This window comes from Homo sapiens, chromosome 19 (assembly GCF_000001405.40).
Source record: "Homo sapiens chromosome 19, GRCh38.p14 Primary Assembly".
NCBI classification, from domain to species: domain Eukaryota; kingdom Metazoa; phylum Chordata; class Mammalia; order Primates; family Hominidae; genus Homo; species Homo sapiens.
In genome coordinates, this window is record NC_000019.10 from 17,751,646 (window position 1) to 17,769,020 (window position 17,375).

Sequence of the window (17,375 nt, forward strand, 5' to 3'; positions counted from 1 at the left end):
GCCCCCCTGCCCGGAGCCTGGGTTTCAGGAGAAGTAGCAGGTGTCACTTCCTGGGCTGGCCAAAGCCTGCATGGGGCCACCCGTTGCCCTGCCCCCCGTCCCCCATTCCAGCTGTGAGTGGTGGTTTGGGTTAGGGGGGCGGCAAGGGGAGCTTGGAAACCCAGAGAGCCACGCGTGATGGTTTCAAACAGGAGGTCATTGGCAGACAGACCAGGGGCAAAATCACAGTCAGCCGGGACCAATGATTGATCTCTCTGTGCCTCGGTTTCCTTCATAAAGTTGGGGTTGCCTCTGAGGGCATGGCATGAAGATTGGATGAGCAGATGCGTGTGAATAGTTGGGTACAGGGTCGCACACATACTGGTGCTCCATGTGTATCTGTCTGCCAGAGGTGGGGTGAGGCAATCTAATTGAAACTGTGAAAACAGTAGTGAGATTCTTGGTTTCTGGGGAACTTGGGCTCCTTGGTTCCTGGGATCTTCTAGAACAATGTTGGCCATCCAATACAGCAGCCATCAGCCCCATGTAGCTACTGAGCCTTGGAAGAGAGGCTGGCACAGCTGAGGAGCTGGGCATATAATTGTATGTATGTATGTATGTATGTATGTATGTATTTAATTATTATTTTTTTAAGACAGAATCTCACTCTTTCAACCAGGTTGGAGTGCAGTGGGGCAATCTTGGCTCACTACAACCTCCGCCTCCCAGGTTCAAGTGATTCTCCTGCCTCATCCTCCCAAGTAGCTGGGACTACAGGTGTGTGCCACCACGCCCTGCTGATTTTTATATTTTTTGGTAGAGATGGGGTTTCACCATGTTGGCCAGGCAGGTCTCGAACTCCTGACCTCAAGTGATCCACCCACCTCGGCCTCCCAAAGTGCTGGGATTACAGGCGTGAGCCACTGCGCCCAGCCAATTGTATTTAATTTTACTTGGTTTAACATTAATACAAAAATTAATACAAAAATTAAGGCCAGGGGTTGTGGCTCATGGCTGTAATCCCAGCACTTTGGGGGTCCCAGGCAGGAGGATGGCTTGAGCTCAGGAGTTCGAGACTGGCCTGGGCCACACTAGTGAGACCTAGTCTCTACAAAAAAAAAAAAAAAAATTTATTTTTAATTAGTTAGACATGTAGTCCCAGCTACTCGGGTGGCTGAGATGGGAGGATCACTTGAGCCTGGGAAGTCGAGGCTGCCATGAGCTGTGATCATGCCACTGCACACTCCAGCCTGGGTGACAGAGCAAGAACCTGTCTCCAGAAAAAATAAAAAAATAAAAAAAACTTAATACAAAAATTATTCAGGCGTGAGCCTGTAGTCTCAGCTACTCGGGAGGCTACTATTCAAGGCTCCCTTGAGCCTGGGAGGTGGAGGCTGCAGTGAGCTATGATCGCACCACTGCACTCCAGCCTGGGCAACAGAGCGAGACCCTGTCTCCAAAAAAAAAAAAAATTAAGTCACCACATGGGGCTAGTGGTTCCCATGCCAGTCAGCACAGCTCTAAGAGATTTGGAGATGCTTAGGGTCCTGGTCATGGACAGAAGCTAAGAAATGATATGGAAATTTAGGGCTTTTCCCCTAGGGATGTCAGTGTAGCATGCTCACCACCCTACCCCTGCCACCAAACTAGGTTTCCTAAGGGGGTGTGGTGGGGACTGAAGTTTTTCAGGGGCCCTGTCATTAACCAGTGCAGGGTTGGGAATGTTTGTTGAAACAAATAATTCCTTGCCCAGTGAACTCCTATTCATGCTTTAAAACCCCAACTCCCATGAGCCCTCCTTTAGTCCAGGTTCTTTTGGACCTTGTCCCTCCATCTGGCCCAGCCCTGACCATGCAGGACGGTGATATCTGTGTCCAGCTCTGTCTCTCTAGACTGGGGACTCCTGCAGGGCCAGGCCCGAGGCTGAATCAACTCAGGGACCCTGACATTGTTCTAGTCTGGGTGAGCAAGTAGGAGGTCTTGGGTGACTCACAGAAGTCCCGGGATTGGAGGCTCAATGATAATGGGTCCAATTAAACTAACTAACTTTCTTTCTTTTTGAGACAGGGTCTTACTCTGTCGCCCAGGCTGGAGTGCAGTGGCGCCATCTCAGCTCACTGCAACCTCCGCCTCCCAGGTTCAAGCGATTCTCCTGTCTCAGCCTCCCAAGTAGCTGGGATTACAGGTGCCCGCCACCACACCTGGCTAATTTTTGTATTTTTAATAGAGACAGGGTTTCACCACTTTGGCCAGGCTGGTCTCAAACTCCTGACCTCAAGTGATCTGCCCGCCTCGGTCCCCCAAAGTGCTGGGATTACAGGCGTGAGCCACCACTTCTAGCCTAAACTAACTTTCAAGATTAGGTAAACTGAGGCACAGAGAGGGGCAGCCTTGCCCAAGGTCTTGCTCAGTCCTTTCCTGGGGAGGCCCCGGGAGCTTCCCCATCCTGTGGTCACGGGTCCCTGTCACTCCTGCCACTGTTCCTACGAGGCTCCCAGCTGCTACCGAGCTGCCTGTGGGGTCATGAATTATGCATGAGGCCTGCAGGCTCCAGTGACAAGCCTGGCCTCTAGAACATGCCAAGGACACTGCCTGTCCGTCCCCTGCCGGGCGGCCTGACCCAGCCTCTTGTGCAGAGACACCTGGGGCTCCCCGGCAAGATCCCTTCTAAGCATTCCTTCTTATTTTGCAGATGGGGAAACTGAGGCACGGAGCTGGACAGTGACTCAGACACCAGGTGAACACTGGCTTTTGAGGGCAGGGTTGGGACTCGTGGGGGCAGCAATGCCAGCTGGGTCATCACAGTGAGGAGTGAGCTCTGACTCCCAGGAGGGTACATAAGGTGAGGACTGTCCTAGAGGAATCAGAAGATCCCAGGGGACCCTCAGGGATACTTCAGGGACCCCAACCCCCATGTGGCTGATCACAGCCCCTGCATCTATTTCTCTTCAAACCCTTTTCCTGCAGGAGCTGCCTGGAGTGGAGCTGAGAGCTCAGGTCTGGGCTCAGCCAGTCCAGAGTGCAAATCTACTGTCCCTTCCTAGCTGTGTGATCTTGGCAAGTGACTTCCCCTCTGGGGGAGGGGAGGGCTCAGTTTTCCCATCTGTGAAGTGGATCAGAGCTTTCCTGTCAAGGTTAGGGGTCATCCAGCACTGCTCCTACCCACTGCTATGAACTCTTATACATGCCTAAAAACCCCACATTCCATGCCCCCTCCTCCAATCTAGACTCCCTCAGCTCTTGTCCCTCCACCTAGTCCAGTTCTGACTCTGTGGAATTGGGGGCATCTGTGTCTTGTTCTGTCCCCCTCTACTGGAGCTACTTGGGACCAGCACTGGGGCTGAATTATCTCAGGGGTCCTGGCATGCTCTTAGCATTGGAGCTTTCAGTTCCTCCTTCATCCTTTCTCTCCTTCCTCTACAGGGAGGGACTTTCCCCCCACCAAGCCCACACTGGCAATGACTCTGTAGCTCAAACTTGCCTCTCTCTTCAGACAGGCACTGGACGGGGCCTGCAGGGGTCTCCACAGAGACCATCAGGATGTCGTATTTTGGGGAGCATTTTTGGGTAAGACCCACTCTTATTTAGGCGGGGGATGCTGGCAGGGCTGTGGGGACTTTTATGGAGATGGGAGGACTGGGTGAGTTGCGGTTACAGCCTTGGACAGGTAGAGGATCTGCAAGGGATGGAAGTTAAAGTGGGAAGAGTCAGGCTGGGTTTGAATCCACACCCACCCCAGACCTCACAGGCCTTACAACCTTGGGCAAGTCATAGCTTGTGTCATAGGGAGACCAAGGGCCAGAGTGGGAACGTCTAGGCAACCTGAAGTTGCCCCATGAAAAAGTGCAGAGTCAGTGCTCAAACCCAGGGCCAAACTGAACTTCCAGGACCCAGGGTCATTCCAGCCAGGGAACTTCCACCCCCTTCCCATCCTGGAGAATTGGGGGGTTTTCCTGACCTGGCGTCTCATGGCCTGTGCACCCCTCCACTGTCCAGGCTGGAGATCACCTCCTGTAGCCCAAGGGCTGCTGAGTGAGACAGAGTTGTTTTTATTCATTCATTTCCTCTCTCCCTGCCACTGTGACCTCATCCCCAGCCAGCCCTAGGAGATGCTGGGGTCTCCAAGAGAATCCATCCCAGCCCCAGCCCCAAGGGAGGAGTCCCCAGTCTGGGGGACCCAGAGCCAGCTTAGACACCTTCAGCCCTGCAGGACCAGGGCTGAACCCAGCCTTGGGGGTCCTAGAGTAGGAACCAGGACACAGAATCGTGTTTGCTGTGAGAAAGCCTGGGCAAAAGACCAGAGATGTGACATTGAGTGGCAAGTTCAGGGAACAGGGACTCCTCCTGCAGAGCCAGGCTAACAGGGTGCCACAGAGGATGGGTGAACAGGGGAGGGCCCAGGAGTCAGGGAAGGACCAGGTCAGAAAGCCCCTTCCCCAGTTGCAGGCCCTGAGCTTGCAGTGAGGAAGCCTGTTGCTAGGCGACTGGTTGCCCCTGGCAACAAGCCCCACTCCTGCCCTTGCTCCCTCCCCAGCTGGGGCTCCTCTTGAAAGCACTTGCTTTCTTAAAGGGGCCGCACTCCCTTGCCACCTGCAGGGGTGTGACCTCCGCCCTCTCTCCAAAGGTCAGACTCCCCGATTTGCCCCTGAAAGGCTGTGTGACTCCAGTGAGGGGCTACCCCTTTCTGAGCTCCTTTTAGTACTGCCGTGTAATGGAGGTGACCATTTGAGGATCAAAAGTCACCTGCATTTTGGAACCCCGACAGTGGCACCTACATTTATTTTAAATCCTTTTTAATTGTGTGAGGCGTGCAGGCTCGCTGCAGAAAATTCAGATCAGCAAAGAGAAAATAGAAACCACCCCCGACTTCCCCACCTCACCCAAAGATATCCTGGTAGAGAATGGTTAAGAGCTTTGAGTTCAGGATTCGAATTGACTCTGCTGGAAGCCCTTGAGCAAATGACTTTGCCTGCCCGAACCTCTGTTTCCCCATCTGGGAAAAAGGGATGAAATTCCTGCACCGCCACTCCCACCCCATGCACCCCACACACCCCCAGACTCAGGGAGGCCTCCTGTGACATCTGTCATCAGTTGCTAGTATTGAAGCCGCCATAGAAGCCTGGTTCTTTGCTGGGTGGTGCTGGGGAGATTAAGCCAAACAGGGATGCCCCAGTCTCATTGCGCCAGGGCAGGGCCGAAGCATGAAGTGTACTAGGGAGCCATGGGGGAAGTGTGAGCAGGAGAGGGACATAAACAAGCTCTGTTACAAAGACCACACTCTTGGCTGGGCGCAGTGGCTCATGCCTGTAATCCCAGCACTTTGGGAGGCCGAGGGAGGCGGATCACCTGAGGTCAGGAATTGGAGACCAGCCTGGCCAACATGGCAAGACCCCATCTCTACTAAAAATACAAAAATTAGCCGGGCATAGTAGCATGAGCCTGTAGTCCCAGCTACTCGAGAGGCTAAGGCAGGAGAATTGCTTGAACCCGGGAGGTGGAAGTCGCAGTGAGATCGCGCCACTGCACTCCAGCCTGGGTGATGGAGTGAGACTCCGTCTAAAAAAAAAAAAAAAAAAAAAAGACCACATTTTGGCTGGCACAGAGGCCAAGTCTGAAGTCTAGAAGTTCTGGTGGGAGAGACAGACCTGAGACAGCCCCTCCTAGGACCCTCGGCTGCCAGCCCAGTCCAAGAGAGGCAGACGCTGCTGGGGGTTTGCCAGGTCTGGGAAACGGGCCAGCAGTTGGCTCTGAGTCAGACCCAGATGCTGCTCTGGGCGGTGGTGCCTGGTGCAGCCTCACCCGAGGATCTCCTGGGGCCAGCACTGTGCCAGCCTCATCCCAGCAAGACCCTTGGGAGTTGGGTGCTGTTGTTGTCCCCATTTGTCACACAAGGAAGGAAACTGAGGCCAGAGAGACGAAGTCACCAACCCAAAGTGACCCTGTACGTATAAGGAGATTGGACACTTGAACTTTGAAAATATAATTCCAAACACAAGAAGAGAAAATATAGGTGGAGCGTGGTAGCTCACGTCTGTAATCCAAACACTTTGAGAAGCTGAGATGGCGGATCGCCTGAGCCCAGGACTTTGAGACCAGCCTGGGCAACATAGCAAGACCCCGTCTCTACTAAAAATACAAAAAATTAGCTGGGTGTGGTGGCGCGCACCTGTGGTCCCAGCTACTTGGGAGGCTGAGGTGGGAGGATCGCTTGAGCCTGGGAGGCAGAGGTTTCAGTGAGCCAAGATCATACCACTGGACTCCAGCCTGGGCGACAGAGCAAGACCCTGTCTCAAAAAAAAAAAAAAAAAAAAGCCGGGTGCGGTGGCTCACACCTGTAATCCCAGCATTTGGGAGGCCGAGGCAGGCGGATCACAAGGTCAGGAGATCGAGACCATCCTGGCTAACACAGTGAAACCCCGTCTCTACTAAAAATACAAAAAATTAGCCGGGTATGGTGGCGGGCACCTGTAGTCCCAGCTATTGAGGAGGCTGAGGCAGGAGAATGGCGTGAACCCAGGAGACAGAGCTTGCAGTGAGCCAAGATCGCATCACTGCACTCCAACCTGGGTGACAGAGTGAGACTCCGTCTCAAAAAAAAAAAAGAGAAAACGTATTCCTGGCGAGCTGGAGGGAGCAACAGTGAAGTGGGGGAGGGGGTTGAGCAGGGTTAGGGAAGTTTCTAGAGCAGGTGGCAATGATCCTTGGGAAGTGGAAGGATGTGGATGGGTGGAAGGAGATGCAAGCTGGAGAGCTGATGGCGGGAATAGCCTGGACAAAATGTGGTGGTGGAAAGGCACTGCCTGTCTTTGCTATTTGCTGTTTTGTGGGTGAGGCTAGGAAGAAGCTAGGAGATGAGGCTGGAGCAGCAATTCCAGGCCATGGACTTGGACTTCAGCATCTGGTGGGCAATAGGGACCCATTGATGATTCTAGAATGAAGTGTGACCATTGGGAGATTTGGGCTTGAGGCTGACCTGGGTCTGCCCCAGTCTTGGCTTCGGTGTCTCCATTGGTGCAGCAGGAAACGTTACCTAGCAGTGACTTCTGGCTTTAACCTTCAGGCTTCTGGCCAAGTGTGGTGACTCACGCCTGTAATCTCAGCACTTTGGGAGGCTGAGATGGGAGGATTGCTTGAGTCCAGGAGTTCGAGACCAACCTTGGTAACATAGTAAGGCCGTATCTCTACTAAAAATAAAAAAAACTAGCCAGGCCTGGTGTCACATGGCTGTGGTTCCAGCTACTTGGGAGGCTGGGGTGGGAGGATCTCTTGAGCCCAGGAATTTGAGGCTGCAGTGAGCCATGATTGTGCCGCTGCACTCCAGCTGGGGAGACAGAGCGAGACCCTGTCTCAAACATAGAAAAATATGTATAACATTCAAGCTTCCGGGTACCTGGGAGGGTGAACCTGGTAGGTTGGAGGAGGGCACAGGAAACTACCATTTATGGAAAACCCGCCAAATGCTGCCAGAGGGATGGCTTCACTGATGTGTGTTGGGACTTAAATGGCATCAGATCCCTCCACAAGCCTTCTCTTCCAGTGTTATTATAAGACCTGATTTGGTGCTAAAATGTCCCCAGTTCCCTCAGACCCCAGCTGATTACCTTTTTTTTTTTTTTGAGACAGAGTCTTGCTCTGTCAGCCAGGCTGGAGTGCAGTGGCGGGATCTCAGCTCACTGCAACCTCTGCCTCCCTGCTTCAAGCAATTCTCCCGCCTCAGCCTCCCGAGTACTTGGGACTACAGGCGCCCACTGCCACGTCTGGCTAATTTTTGTATCTTTAGTAGAGACGGGGTTTCACCATGTTGGCCAGTCTGGTCTTGAACTCTTGACCTCGAGTGATTTGCCCGCCTCAGCCTCCTGAAGTGCTGGGATTACACGCATGAGACACCACACCCATCTAGTCATTGATTTTAAAGTTGTAATGGTGAGTTTTAAGTCCAAATCTAAAGGTGTCCAATTCCAACAGCGGGCGCAGAGGACCAGGTCTCCAAGGGGTGGAGAGAAGCGGGATCAGAAGGTGTGTATGAGGCCGGGCGTGGTGGTTCACGCCTGTAATCCCAGCACTTTGGGAGGCCGAGGCAGGCAGATCAGTTGAGGTCAGGAGTTCAAGACCAGCTTGACCAACATGGTGAAACCCTGTCTATACTAAAAATACAAAAATCAGCCAGGTGTGGTGGCACACGCCTGTTAAAAAAAAAATCCTCATGTTTAATCTATATTGGTCTTGCTTTTAGCCTTTTCCTCAGTTCTATTCATATTGTTTATTATTTTTTGTTTTCTGTAGATGGTCATATAATCTGGTCTCAATTATTTTTCTTACCTTACTGCATTTGCCAACACCTCTACATCAGCATTAAATATTAGCCATGATTTGAGGCATTCCTGCCTCATCCTGAAATATGTTGTGTCTCCTGTTTTGCCATCTTTTTTTTTTTTTTTGCATTGGGGGACAGAGTCTTGCTATGTCACCCAGGCTGGAGTGCAATGGCACGATCTCAGCTCACTACAACCTCTGCCTCCCGGGTTCAAGCGATTCTCCTGCCTCAGCCTCCGAATAGCTGGGGTTATAGGCATGTGCCACCACGCCTGGCTAATTTTTGTATTTTTAGTAGAGACGGGGTTTCACCATGTTGGCCAGTCTGGTCTCGAACTCCTGACCTCAGATAATCTGCCTGCCTCGGCTTCCCAAAGTGCTGGGACTACAGGTGTGAGGCACCGCGCCCGGCCTGATTACCATTTTTAATGGACAGCTTAGTAGTGTTCAGGCATGATGCCCTTCCCAGGTGACAGAATCTGGCCGGCGTTAAGATATAGTTGTTGCCTCATTTTTTCCTACTCCTTTCATGCGGCAGAGGGTCCCAATTTTCCATTGAGAGTGGCAGAAAAAGTTGCCCTTTAACATAAATGTCTTTGGGGAAGAAGCATAAGCAAATTTAAAACAAATGCTAACTATTAATAACTAATGTTACGAATTAGCAAAAACTAGAGTGGCCTTTGGGGCTTTGGGGAGCATTGACATGGATTATCTTGCTGCTTGTATCATCTCCATGTAAGAGGCAGATGTCTCCCAGGCTGTAGTGTAGTGACATGATTTTGGCTCATTGTAACCTCCGCCTCCCGGGTTCAAGTGATTCTCCTGCCTCAGCTTCCTGAGTAGCTGGGATTACAGGCACCTGCCACCATGCTTGGCTAATTTTGCATTTTTAGTAAACACGGGGTTTCACCATTTTGGCCAGGCTGGTCTCGAACTCAAGACCTCAAGTGATCTGCCTGCCTCAGCCTCCCAAAGTGCTGGGATTACAGGGGTGAGCCACCGCGCCTAACCTCCCTGCCCCATCTTAATGAGGAGCTCCTAAAAGCTCAGAGGGGGCAGTGACTTGCCTGGGTCACACAGTGCAGCCCTGGCCTCCCCCACCATGACAACCCCAGAAATTGGAGTAAAGAGATTTTGTGAAGGCATTCGCAGGCACCAGGGTAGAAATACTCAGTTCCCAGTGGCACTAACAGGTAACAGCAGAATCATTTGTTTATTTATTCAACGAACTCAAATGCCCTTTCTGTCTCTCATTCTGTGCTGGGCTTTGGTGGGTCCTGGGAGAGAACTCAAACCTGGACCCTAATTTGGGTTCTCATAGGCGGAATTTCCATGTTGACAAGAACAGAAAACACAACTACAGTGACTTAAGCAACGGGGACTGTATTGGCTTATAAGATCAAATGATTATGGGGGAATGTGGCTTTCAGGGTTGGTTTGATCCAGCAACTCAATTTAACACACTTTTTTTTTTTTGTAGCTAGTATAAATGGGATCACTTTCTTGATTTCTTTTCAGCTATATTTTATTAATGGTGTATAGAAACGCTACTGATTTTCATGTTGATATTTGTATTTTGCAATTTAACTGAATTTGTTTATCAGTTCTAGGAGTTTTTTGGTGGTGTGTTTAGGCCTTCCTATACATAAGTTCATGTTGCAAAGAGAGACAATTTGACTTCTTTTCATGTATATACATATATATATATATATATATACACACACACTTCCCCCCCGCCCTGAGACGGAGTCTTCCTCTGTTGCCCAGAGCTGGAGTGCAATGGCGTGATCTCGGCTCACTGCAACCTCTGCCTCCCACGTTCAAGCAATTCTCCTGCCTCGGCCTCCCAAGTAGCTGGGATTACAGGGGTGCGCCACCATGCCTGGCTAATTTTTGTATTTTTAGTAGAGACAGGGTTTCTCCATGCTGGCCAGGCTGATCCCAAACTCCTGACCTCATGGTCCGCCCGCCTCAGCCTCCCAAGGTGCTAGGATTACAGGCGTGACCCACTCCAATTTATTTTTATTTTTATTTCATTCATTCATTCATTCATTCATTCATTTATTTTGAGACAGTCTTGCTCTGATACCCAGGCTGGAGTGCAGTGGTAGGATCTCAGCTCACTGCAACCTCTGCCTCCTGGGCTCAAGCAATCCTCCTGCCTCAGTCTCCCAAGTAGCTGGGATTACAGGCACGCGCCACCACGCCTGGCTAATTTTTGTATTTTTAGTAGAGACGGAGTTTTGCCATGTTGGCCAGGCTGGTCTCGAACTCCTGACCTCAAGTGAACCACCCACCTTGGCTTCTCAAAGTGTTGGGATTACGGGCGTGAGCCACCGTGCCCAGCTCAACACACTTTTTTTTTTTTTTAAATATAAAAGCCCTCTGGTTCAGCTTCTTTCTAAGGTTCACGGTTTCCATTTGACTTCCAGTATCCCCTGTGGCCACATAATTCCTCATTTATGGAAAGACACAAAGAGAAAAGGGGAGGAGACTGAGACAGAAACGGCAGAGAGACTCAGAAAAACGGAGAGAAAGACAGAGACACAAAGACAGAAGGAGACAAAGACACAGAACAAATGAGATTCCTCCCCAGCAACTATAGGACAAAAAGAAAATCCCAGGCTTCTCTCTGATTGGACAAATTTAAGGTCCATAGACAATCCCTATGGCCCAGGGGAAATGCAGCAAGCTGATTCGCTCAGGCCCGAACAAGTCCCTACAGCCAAGGGGATGGACTTCTGCTCCTTGGCCACGCCCCCGTTGCTAAGCAACTATGATGTTCTCTCCATCCTTTCTCAATCTCTATTCCCATCCCCTGCAGGGCGAGAAAAATCATGGCTTTGAGGTCCTGTACCACAGCGTGAAGCAGGGGCCCATCTCCACCAAGGAGCTGGCGGACTTCATCCGGGAGAGGTGAGGTCCCCAAGCCCCATCCACCAGAGGCCACGCCCACCATCCTGTAGTCACGCCCACCTAATGGCTACGCCCTGCATGGTCAGGGGCTAGAACCCTGGGGATTCCAGGAACCAGAGGGGCTCGAAAATCCTGGAAATGACCGATTCTCAACCCGGTCAGGCCCATATCTCCTTTTAAACAACAATCACCTGATTTCGAAAGCTCCCCTCCTCAAAAGAGGATGATATAACCTACTCAAGGTTGGAATTTTTTTTTTTGGAGACAAGATCTTGCTTTGTTGCCCAGGCTAGAGTGCAGTGACCCAATCATAGCTCACTGCAGCCTCGAACTCCTGAGTTCAAGAGATCCTCCTACCTCAGCTCCCGAGTAGCTGGGACTATAGGCATGTACCACCACATCTGGCTTTTTTTTTTTTTTTTTTTTTTAAACAGAGTTTTGCTCTTGTTGCCCAGGCTAGAGTGCAATGGTGCAGTCTCGGCTCACTGTAACCTCTGCCTCCCGGGTTCCAGCAATTCTCCTGCCTCAGCCTCCCAAGTAGCTGAGACTACAGGTGCCTGCCACCACGTCTGGCTAATTTTTTTATTTTTAGTAGAGACGAGGTTTCACTATGTTGGCCAGGCGGGTCTCAAACTCCTGACCTCAGGCGATCCGCCCGCCTCAGCCTCCAAAAGTGGTGGAATTACAGATGTAAGCCACTGCACTCTGCCTTTTTTTTTTTTTTTCTTTTTGGAGACAGAGTCTCACTTTGTTGCCCAGGGTGATCTGATCATAGCTCACTGCAGCCTCGACCTACCGGGCCCAAGCGATCCTCCCACCTCAGGATCCTGAGTAGCTGGGACTACAGGCATGCACCACCACACCTATCTAAGTTAAAAAAAATTTTTTTTGTAGAGAAGGAGTCTCATTATATTGCCCAGGGTGGTCTCGAACCCCTGGGTTCCAGTGATCCTCCTGCCTCGGCCTCCCAAAGTGCTGGGATTACAGGCATGAGTCACCATGCCCAGCCTACTACTGTTGTTAATAAAATATATTACGTAAGAAAAAATCTTCTATGAATTTTCAAAACATCCCTCAGAGTGTTGTGTCATCCCCCCATTATGGAAAGCCACTGCTAAGGTGTTTGAGATGGGGAAACTGAGGCCCAGAGGAGCAGTGCCTCTCTCAAGGGTGTCTGAAAGCTTCTTCATCTTTTTTTTTTTTTGCGATGGAGTCTTGCTTTGTCACCCAAGCTGGAGTGCAGTGGCACGATCTCAGCTCACCGCAACCTCCACCTCCTAGGTTCAAGCGATTTTCATGCCTCAACTTCCCCAGTAGCTGGGAATTACAGGCATGCACCACCACACCTGGCTAATTTTTGTATTTTTAGTAGAGACAGGGTTTCACCAAGTTGGCCAGGCTGGTCTTGAACTCCTAACCTCAGGTGATCCGTCCGCCTCGGCCTCCCAGAGTGCTGGGATTACAGGCGTGAACCACTGCGCCCGGGCAGTTTCTCCATCTTTACCTCATTCTCCTCCCCAGGGCCACCATCGAGGAGACCTACTCGAAGGCGATGGCGAAACTCTCCAAGCTGGCCAGCAACGGGACCCCCATGGGGTGAGTGGGGTAGGGGTCACCAACATGGGGACATTGGGAGCCTCCTCCTTGGTGGACATCTCTTCACACTCGGTGCATGTAGAATAGAGTGTCATCCACCTCGATTATGGGGCTATTTGGATAGAGGGATGTATATCATTCATTCACACACTAGCTCATTCATTCATTCCACAAATATTTTTTGAGTGCCTTCTGTGTGCCAAGCACCAGCAGCAACCCAGACAGATAAAACCCCAGCCACCTTCATGCAATGTACATCTGGGCTGTGTGAGAAGAGAGATGTTAAATACAAACAAAAACATTTTTTTTCTGAGGTGAAAAGTGCTGGGAAGGGGGCCAGGTGCGGTGGCTCATGCCTGTACTCCCAGCACTTTGGGAGGCTGAAGTGGGCGGATCACCGGAGGTCAGGAGTTCAAGACCAGCCTGGGCAACATGGTGAAACTCCTCTCTACTAAAAATACAAAATTAGTCGAGTGTGGTGGCGGGTGCCTGTAATCCCAGCTACTCAGGAGGCTGAGTCAGGAGAATCGCTTGAACCCAGGAGGCGGAGGTTGCAGTGAGCCGAGATTGTGCCACTGCACTCCAGCCTGGGCAATAAGAGCGAAAACTCTGTTTTGAAAAAAAAAAAAAAAAAAGTGCTGGGAAGGGAATGAGATAGGAGTGTGAGAGATCGGGCACTTTCTCTGGGGTGGGCCCGACCTCCCTGAACTGAGACCTTAATAGAAAGGGGCAGGCCATGGGGATGTCTGAGGGACAGAGACCCGGGCAAGTGGCTCAGCCAGTGCGAAGGCCCTGAGTTGACAGGCGTGGCATGTTTACGGAAGAGTGAGGAGGCTGGCCTGGCTGCAGGGCTTGGGCAACGTGGAAAGGAAGTAGGAGGGGAGATGGCAGGGTGAGGCCTCAGGGGCCTGACACACAAATGACTTTGCATGAACCTTGTGCCCGGGCGCGGTGGCTCAAGCCTTTAATCCCAGCATTTTGGGAAGCTGAGGTGGGAGGATCACTTGAGGCCAAAAGTTCGAGACCAGCCTGGGCAACATGGAGAAACCCCTGTCTCTACTAAAAATGCAAAAATTAGCCGGGCATGGTGGCATGTGCCTGCAGTCCCAGCTATTTAGGAGGCTGAGGCAGGAGGATGGCTTGAACCCAGGTGATGGAGGCTGCAGTGAGCCATGATTGTACCACTGCACTTCAGCCTGGGTGACAGAGCCAGACCATGCCTCAAAAAAAAACAAAAATAAAAACAAAACACATAATGTGGTCCCCCGATGGCATTTGCAGTTTTCTTTGTGGCTGCTATGAGGCAAAAGTTCTGTGGGGCAGGCAGAAGTGGAGGCAGCAGGAGGAGAAGGTGGAGGGAGGCTGGATGGGGCTTCTGCTGAGTGGGGCAGGCCAAATTGACTCGATTGGGGCATGTGGTGTCTTAGTCACTCTTTTTTTTTTTTTTTTTTTTTTTTGAGACAGAGTCTCACTCTGTCGCCCAGGCTGGAGTGCAGTGGCGCGATCTTGGCTCACTGCAAGCTCCGCCTCCTGGGTTCACGCCATTCTCCTGCCTCAGCCTCCCGAGTAGCTGGGACTACAGGTGCCCACCACCACGCCCGGCTAATTTTTTGTATTTTTAGTAGAGACGGGGTTTCACCATGTTAGCCAGGATGCTCTCTCAATCTCCTGACCTTGTGATCTGCCCACCTCAGCCTCCCAAAGTGCTGGGATTACAGGCGTGAACCATTTTTTTTTTTTTTTTTGAGATGGAGTCTCGCTGTGTCACCCAGGCTGGAGTGCAGTGGTGTGATCTCGGCTCGCTGCAAGCTCCACCTCCCGGGTTCAAGCGATTCTTCTGCCACACCCAGCTAATTTTTGTATTTTAAGTACAGACGGGGGTTTCACCATGTTGCTCAGGCTGGTCTGGAACTCCTGACCTCAAGTGACCTGCTCGACTCGGTCTCCCAAAGTGCTGGGATTACCAGGGCCTGCGTTTAAATTCCAGCTCTAATGTTGATTTGTTGAGGGGCCTTGGGAGGAGCTATAGAGCTCCCTATGCCTCAGTTTCCCCATCTGTCACAGGCCCGCCTCTTACAGCTGCCATGGAGATTATATGAATTAGTATTCATTCATGTTTAGCAGGGCTCAGCGTGCAGCACATACCTGAGCCAGTGCCAGCGCTGTCCCGGGGTGGGGTGAGCCTGATGAACCCTGGGTGTGACCTTGCCCGCCCCCAGGACCTTCGCCCCGCTCTGGGAGGTCTTCCGCGTCTCCTCGGACAAGCTGGCGCTGTGCCACCTGGAACTGACACGGAAGTTACAGGATCTCATCAAGGACGTTCTCCGCTACGGCGAGGAACAGCTCAAGACCCACAAGAAGGTGTGTGTCGTGGGCGCCGCCCAGCGGCTGGGTGGGTGTGGAACACCGGCAGCTCACAGGACCCCAGATCTTCTGGGGCTTTATAACCTGCGGATGTCCGCCTCCGAGAATTCCGTTAATTCCACAACGTCAAGCCCAGGGTCTTACGGACCTGAGCGTTGTTGAATTTCAAACTTGCAAAATTCCAGACCAGGAGTTAGCACACTGTGGCCCACGGGCCAAATCCCGCCCACCCCCCACCAATGTTTGTACAGCTAAGAAGGGTTTTTTTTTTTTCTGCTTGTTTGTTTTTAAGAGACAGGGTCTCACTCTGTCACCCACATGCAGTGGCGTGATCAGAGCTCCCTGCAGCCTCAAACACTTGGGCTCAAGCGAACCTCCTGCCTCAGCCCCCACAGAATAGCTGGGACTACGTTGCACGCCACCATGCCTGGCTAATTTTTAAAAAATGTTTGGGCCTGGCGTAGTGACTCATGCCTATAATCCCAGCACTTTGGGAGGCTGAGGCAGGAGGATGGCTGGAGCCCAGGATCCTACAGGAGTTTGAGACCAGCCTGGGCAACATAGGGAGACCCCATCTTTACCAAAAAAAAAAAAACACCCAAAACTACCCAGGCATGATGGCACATGCCGGTAGTCCCAGCTACTCAGGAGGCTGAGGTGGGAGGATCACTTGAGCATGGGAGGTCGAGGCTGCAGTGAGCCATGATCATGCCACTGCACTCCAGCCTAGGCAACAGAGAAAGACTGTCTAAAAAAAAAAAAAAAAAAAACAAGAGAGAGAGATGGGTTATCACTGGTTTTTACATTATTAAAGGGTTAGAAAAAAATCTAAAGAAAAATAAAATTTCACCACATGTGAAAATTGTATGACAGTCACATATCAGTGCCAGTAAATAAAGTTTTATTGGCACAGAGCCATGCCCATTGATGTGCCTGTCATCTGTGGCTGTTTGGCACTGCAGCGACAGATTCAAGTGTTTGTATCAAGCCAAACACATTTGCTATCTGTCCCTTTACAGAAAACATTTGCCAACAGCTGTTCTAAAGCATTGGAAGTTACAGATATTCATATTTACTATTTTTACACTCTTATAAACCTAGAATCAGAAGAACCATCTTAGACTCTTAGAATTCCACAATATCCAAAGCTTATAATTGTAGAATCATAGATGCATTGTCTTTACAGAGTTCCAAAATCTGCATGTTTTTATGTCTTGTTTAAAAAGGGGGTTGGTAATACTTTGTTTTTGTTTTGTTTTGTTTTGTTTTTTTGAGATGGAGACTTGCTCTGTTGCCCAGGCTGGAGTGCAGTGTGCACAATCTCAGCTCACTGCAATCTCCATCTCTTGGGTTCAAGCAATTCTCCTGCCTCAGCCTCCCAGGTAGTTGGGATTACAGGTGTGCTGGTGCACGCCTGGCTAATTTTTTGTATTTTTAGTAGAGACAGTGTTTCACCATGTTGGCCAGGCTGGTCTTGAATTCCTGACCTCAGGTGATCTGCCCGCCTCAGCCTTCCAAAGTGTTGGGATTACAGGTGTGAGCCACCGCGCCTGGCTTTGCTGATTTTTAAATTTTTTGTATAGAAGGGATCTTGCTAGCCAGGAGCGATGGCTCATGCCTGTAATCCCAGCACTTTGGGAAGTTGAGGCAGGCATATCACTTGAAGTCAGGAGTTCCAGACCAGCCTGGCCAACATGGTGAAACCCTGTCTATACTAAAAACACAAAAATTAGCCAGACGTGGTGGCACACACACCTGTAATCCCAGCTACTCAGGAGGCTGAGACAGGAGAATGACTTGAGCCTGGGAGGTGGAGGTTGCAGTCAGTTGAGATCGCGACACACCACTCCAGCCCGGGCAACAGAGTGAGACTCTGTCTCAAAAACAAAACAAGGCAAAAAAAAAAAAAAGGAGAGAGAGAAGGGGTCCTGCTGTGTTGCCCAGGCTGGTCAAACATCTAACATATCTGCCTCAGCCTTCCAAAATGTTGGCATTACAGGCATGGGTCACTGTGCCTGGCCAGGAGTGAATTTTTAAGTGGTAAAAGCAGGCCAGGCGTGGTGTGCATGCCTGTAGTCCCAGCTACTTGGGAGGCTGAGCTGAGGTGTGAGAATTGCTTGAGCCTAAGAGTTAGAGACCAGTTTGGGCAACACAGTGAGACCCCATCTCTTAAAAAAAAAAGCTGGGCACAGTGACTTATGTCTGTA

General features: G+C 50.9%; 1 protein-coding gene across 77 annotated transcripts in view, besides 5 other annotated features; it reads left to right on the top strand.

Moving 5' to 3' along the window:
• Window positions 1-17,375, top strand: part of FCHO1 (FCH and mu domain containing endocytic adaptor 1) — a 40,818-nt gene that overhangs the window by 3,902 nt on the left and 19,541 nt on the right. For 17 of the 77 annotated variants that reach the window (NR_169219.1, NR_169248.1, NR_169235.1 and 14 more), the window contains exons 2-7: window positions 2,672-2,716; window positions 2,947-3,036; window positions 3,473-3,546; window positions 11,117-11,208; window positions 12,730-12,804; window positions 15,024-15,165. Coding sequence is in view for 41 of the 77 variants with exons in the window: in NM_001161357.2 (NP_001154829.1) it covers window positions 3,520-3,546; window positions 11,117-11,208; window positions 12,730-12,804; window positions 15,024-15,165 (336 nt within the window). In the remaining 36 variants the exon portion in view is untranslated. Of the gene's footprint in view, window positions 1-2,563; window positions 2,822-2,946; window positions 3,114-3,472; window positions 3,547-10,724; window positions 10,944-11,116; window positions 11,209-12,729; window positions 12,805-14,925; window positions 15,166-17,375 lie in introns of those variants that run through there. The other 60 variants (NR_169239.1, NR_169226.1, NR_169220.1 and 57 more) reach the window with 28 other exon arrangements.
• Window positions 1,990-2,510: an enhancer, noted in NCBI's record as "OCT4-H3K4me1 hESC enhancer chr19:17864444-17864964 (GRCh37/hg19 assembly coordinates)". NCBI's record gives its function as "activates a minimal SCP1, AML or CMV promoter by ChIP-STARR-seq in naive H9 embryonic stem cells {active_cell/tissue: H9 hESC(naive)}" and the evidence as "EXISTENCE:reporter gene assay evidence [ECO:0000049][PMID:30033119]".
• Window positions 2,511-3,030: an enhancer, noted in NCBI's record as "OCT4-H3K4me1 hESC enhancer chr19:17864965-17865484 (GRCh37/hg19 assembly coordinates)". NCBI's record gives its function as "activates a minimal SCP1, AML or CMV promoter by ChIP-STARR-seq in naive H9 embryonic stem cells {active_cell/tissue: H9 hESC(naive)}" and the evidence as "EXISTENCE:reporter gene assay evidence [ECO:0000049][PMID:30033119]".
• Window positions 4,602-4,881: an enhancer, noted in NCBI's record as "active region_14284". NCBI's record gives its function as "activates an Ori minimal core promoter by ATAC-STARR-seq in GM12878 lymphoblastoid cells {active_cell/tissue: GM12878}" and the evidence as "EXISTENCE:reporter gene assay evidence [ECO:0000049][PMID:35858748]".
• Window positions 6,882-7,082: a silencer, noted in NCBI's record as "peak3395 fragment used in MPRA reporter construct". NCBI's record gives its function as "represses an SCP1 promoter by STARR-seq MPRAs in K562 erythroleukemia cells {active_cell/tissue: K562}" and the evidence as "EXISTENCE:reporter gene assay evidence [ECO:0000049][PMID:32103011]".
• Window positions 14,573-15,110: an enhancer, noted in NCBI's record as "H3K4me1 hESC enhancer chr19:17877027-17877564 (GRCh37/hg19 assembly coordinates)". NCBI's record gives its function as "activates a minimal SCP1, AML or CMV promoter by ChIP-STARR-seq in primed H9 embryonic stem cells {active_cell/tissue: H9 hESC(primed)}" and the evidence as "EXISTENCE:reporter gene assay evidence [ECO:0000049][PMID:30033119]".